The following is a 5113-nucleotide window of genomic DNA, read 5'->3' on the forward strand; positions in this document are numbered from 1 at the left end:
ACATCTTTCTTTTTAAATTGGACTAGGATACTTATTTTGATTGTGATTGCTTTGGTTACAAATGGCATAGGTTTTCAGTGTTTGTCGCAAACTATTTTTGATAAATCCTGTATTTATTTGAAAATGATTTTTCAGGACATGAGTTTTCCAGGAACATGTCAATCTGTTACAATAAGAACACTTGGACTTTTAAAAAAGTGCTTTCAGCAAAATGATGCAAAAATCTCTCCTACAGCCATAAAGCATATTACTCTCTTTCCAGAACTAAAATTCACGATTTTTGCTTCTAGCAACAAGCAAAGATCACTGGCTGATGTCCATTCTCCTTTAGTTCTGTCACAAGTCCAGATATTATGGACTAGACTGGAAAGTTTACTACCATCCAAAACACTGTATAAGACAGAGGGGAAAGGGAGAGAGAAAAATAAGTTAAAATTTCTAATTATATACCAGAGCAAGAAAGAAATATGAGTAAGAGCTGTAGTCTTCATTTCTGAAGTTGGTCTAGAGGCAATAATTGATTGCCACGATTTCCTTCTTTTATCACCAATTCTACATTCCCTTTGCTTTCAGCCACTTCTTCTGTTGGTTAGGGTTCTCTGACCAAGCTGTTATCACTAAAGTATCCGAATGCCTTGTGGTATTGCTTGTATAGATTTACTGTTGCCTTCCATTCAATTTTACCACTAGAAAAAAAATTATGGGGATTTTATATGTCCTATTCATTCTCCTCTCTTTTCCGTTTTGTAGCAGCAAACCTATTTCCTGTTTATTGTCAGCCAAGATAAGAGATCCATGATGGAAAGAAACATTTTGTCTTTGAGAATTGAGAACTTTAGCCAAAGTCACAGGGCAAGGGAAGCTAATTTTTTGAAGGAAATCATTAGCTCACTGGATCTAATAGTAAGAAGGACCTCTCCCACTTCCAACTTCTGGTTCCAAGACCCATATATTCTGGTGATGGGAGAAATAGCATTATATACCAGGTAATCAATCATTCAGAGAATTTACTGCTGGTATAGCGCCTGAGTCTTTTAATAGGCCATCCCATTGTTTTCCATGCCCAGCTGCTTTTAGAGAATGCAGTTCTAAGTCTACCGTCTTTACCTCATTTCCTGTAAAGTGAGTGTTCCTTGGTTAGAAGCAATGTTTGTGATGTACCACAATGTTTAATAGGGCATTCTGTGATTCTTCACTTGGTGATATGTCTTTTTAGTATCGTGTGTAGAGAAAACAAAACAGTCACCAAATACCCAGTTTCCATCCCTTCCATGTCAAGGATCCAGTGTAACTGAAATTCAATAAATGCCTGGCTCCTTTGAGACAGTATCCCATATTGAAGGGGGAGTGTAAGGGAGGCCACTCCACATTGGTTTCTGCTACTCACTGACTGATTACTTATGAGTGGAAGTAAACAGGTCAGCCTTAGGGAGATGAGGCCTATAATGTTAGGCTCCTACATCACTTTTATCCTTGACACCAAGGCTGCTTTGTTTCTGAGCCTATTGATTAGGGGTAAAAGAGATTATGGAAAGAGGCTGACCAACATTCACAAGGAGAGTGATGTTGATTATTGAAAGCCGCCTAATTATTGAAAGCCTTCACCACCAAGAAGGCCTTCTAATGAACAGTCATATCAGAACAAAGTTTCTTCCATTTTTTAGCCCATTCCAAGAGGTCCATCCATGCTCCACTAAGCCACTTTGACACCAATATTTCAATTTTGTTATCTATCTCAGGATGCAGAGTCTTCACTGAGGCCTTAATTCTTTCAAGGAAGAGTGAACAATCAGATATACTATTCAAAGTTCAGCCTCATCAGAAGGATTTATTTCATTATCTTTTAAGAAAAAAATCAGTTGCCTCACCTATCATCAGACAGGCTTCAGTTGTCACTTCCTTCGGGGTTTGCCTCAAGTGCAAGAGCCATCTTGTCCAACGACAAAACTAACTTTCTCCAGAGCAGCCCATGTTCAATGACTGATTGAAGTAGAAATATAAAGGCCTCATTATCTGGGCCCAAAGCAGGGTAATGGTGATGAATATGCTTTTAAGTTCTCCATGGGGTTGACCAAGTTTTGTGTATCTTGTATCACGATTTGACTTCTTCCTGTGCTCAGTCCTGCTTTTCATCTCTCCCTTTAGCAGGTATTGATTCTTAATAGACATTCTGCATTCCAGACTCCATCTCAGCATCTACTTCTGGAGAACCTAACCTGTGATATCACATGTAAATTGGGTTGAAATGTTTTTTTCTCAATCAACTAGTCTAGGGAATAACCAACAGGTAGGGGCTGAAGGAGGTTTGGTTATGTGGTAAGGTCAGTTGCACTGGGTCAAAAGCTTTCTGCTCATGCAAACTAATTATGCTTTCAGGACTTGCCTAAGCCAGGCCTTCTTTGTACCGCTTTCATATGATGATGGAGTGATTCAGGGATGCCCTGACTTGCTGGCTAGTGTATAGATGAAATCTAGTTTACAGTGAATTGCCCAGTACATAAAATCATCAATTAACCCATAATCATATGTCTAGTTACAAGGGGAAGAGCTGACTCTAACAAAGTCTTGTAACTTTTTCAAATGGGCATGACTTCTGTCTCAAACATTGCAGACCTTATTTGAAATTCTCTGTTGAGGCTTACCACTCTGTCTGGGCACATCCAAATCTTCCAAAGACACCAAACACAACTGGTGTAATGTATCGTAAAGAAGCAAGCTCTACTTTTTACCTACTCTTATAAGTGACTATGTGAAAAACATTTCTTAAACATTAAAAGAGAGCTTAGATGCAGGTGACAAATACACTACTACTAGGCCCATCTTACTGTTACATTTCAAAATAGTATGATTGATAGGTTTTTTTTCATAAGGCAAAATACATCAGGTTAAAGATACCCATTGTGGTGATGGTGGCTCATGTAAGCCAGCTTGGAGTAGAGGATGATTTGATTTAGGTAAAGGTCCCTGAAGGCAGTGACATCTGGGATGGGATTCGTGGAAACAGTTTGTCTTTGCTTCTTTTTTTATCTCCTTACTCATTCTCAGCTGAGAGAGCAGCATTTGTCAAAGCAATACGGTGAGAGAAGACAAGGCATATTCACTGTACTGCAAGTTTTGAAATCAGCCATTTTTCTCATCTAATGTACACGAACACTGGTCTGTCTGGGGAAAATGTAGCCTGTGTAGATAAAGATTGTTTAATATTAATGGGGAGGTTCCAGGAAAAAAAAAAAGTCTAAGGGTTACAAATAAATATTTTTTGGCCTTCTCCTAACCAACATGAAGACATATTTGTGGTAATATTGCACAGATTTTTATAAAGGAGAAAAAGAAATTGAAAGTCCCCCTTCTCCCCCTGGCCACATACACACAGCTTGCTCCCTTTCAGTCCTTGGGGGTTTTCCCTGGAAGGAGGTTTATACATGCATATGCTACCATATAATTGTCACAGCAATTAAGATATAGGCTCCGAGTTCACGGCTCCATAATTTATTGGCTATGAAACTCTGATCAATTTACTTAACTTTTCCAAACTTCAGTTTCCTTGTCTGTGAAATGGAGAGAATGTATCTCTAACTAATAAAGTTATTGTAAGAATTAATTGAGATGGGGCTAATAAAGTACTCAGCAAAGTGCTGGGATATGAAAATTGTTTCAAAATTAATATTTTATGATTATTACTTCTTTAGTCCTCTTTACCATGCTCTTGACTATTTCACTTCTTCCTATGATTCAGGATAACTACAGACAAGGTTTTAAGTGCCTATTATGATTATGAAGATAGTAGAAATTCCATTCTCTTATGCTATCAAATCATTACATTTACATATGTATTCAACCCTGCCAAATCCCAAATGAAGGTTAATGTTCATGATGGAGAAGAGCCATTAGCACATTTATGAATTTGAATTCCACTTAGCTTTATTGACAAAAATAACTGTGAAAGTATAAGTAACTAATTTATATTAATATCAGGAATACCAGGCGTATTTGTGATATCTGGACTAAACAGACAGGCATTTGTACTGTCAAACCCCTGCCCTCTGTATCTTACTGAGAATCAGGAAGCATGCCAAATAGGAAAAATAGAATCAAGGTTTCTCATGCATTGAGCCTTAAACACTGTTTTCCAAAGTGGGTTTATTTAAACTACTAGCTGTTGGAGAGTATGTATAATTCTTATGTTAAAATAAATCCCATGGTCAATGAGGTACAGGAAATACAGGTTTTAACCAAGTTAAACAGAATTTATTATTGTGAGACCTCTCAGAACTCTTATTATGTAATTATACATTGTAGATTTCCAAAAGAGACCACAGTGGTGCCATTCTGGAGATTTCTCAGTTATTTACAATGTGAGCCACATTTTCCAGAAGGCAAAATAAAAAAATTATAAATTTATTTTAATAATATTTTCTTAACCTGGTATATCAAAAATGTTATTTTAACATTTAATCAATGTAAAAATTATTGAGACATTTTATATTTTTCTGCATAGCAGGTGTTCAAAATCAGTGTGTAGTTTGAAGTTGCAGCACATCTCAATTCAAACTAGCCACATTTCAAGCACTCAGTGGCTGTGCATAGTGAGTGGCTACCACATTTAACAGTGCAGGACTGACTGGACTGCACTATTTCTCAAATTTACTTTTCCATAGTTAGTTTACTTTTCATGGAGCATATTAAGGGATCATGTTCCAGAAACAGTGATGAACAAACAGTGATGTATGAAGGGGACCAATGGAGAAATTTCCAGATGCAAGAGAAATGAGGATATGGAAAGTGCCATCAATGTATGAGATCTGAGTAAAAATGAAGGCTTGCGTCATGGTTACTGTGAACATTAACTTAGCATCACACTGGTATCATACCTTGGTAGATCTACCTATACGAAGGAGCAGATTGACATTCAACTGAATTAACTGCTGAGCAGGCAGAAGAAACATGAAATTGCAATATTAACAAGACAAGAGAGTGAGTAGTTCTCAGAGTAAAAGACTAGCGAGCAGAACAGCTTTACAAGGGAGATCCTGGTGTTCAAACAGAAGGACCCTCCAACCCACTGCCTCTAGAAGGGATGGTAACTCCCTCTAAATTGAGTCATTTTCCCAAT

Source organism: Homo sapiens, chromosome 15 (genome assembly GCF_000001405.40).
Source record: "Homo sapiens chromosome 15, GRCh38.p14 Primary Assembly".
NCBI classification, from domain to species: domain Eukaryota; kingdom Metazoa; phylum Chordata; class Mammalia; order Primates; family Hominidae; genus Homo; species Homo sapiens.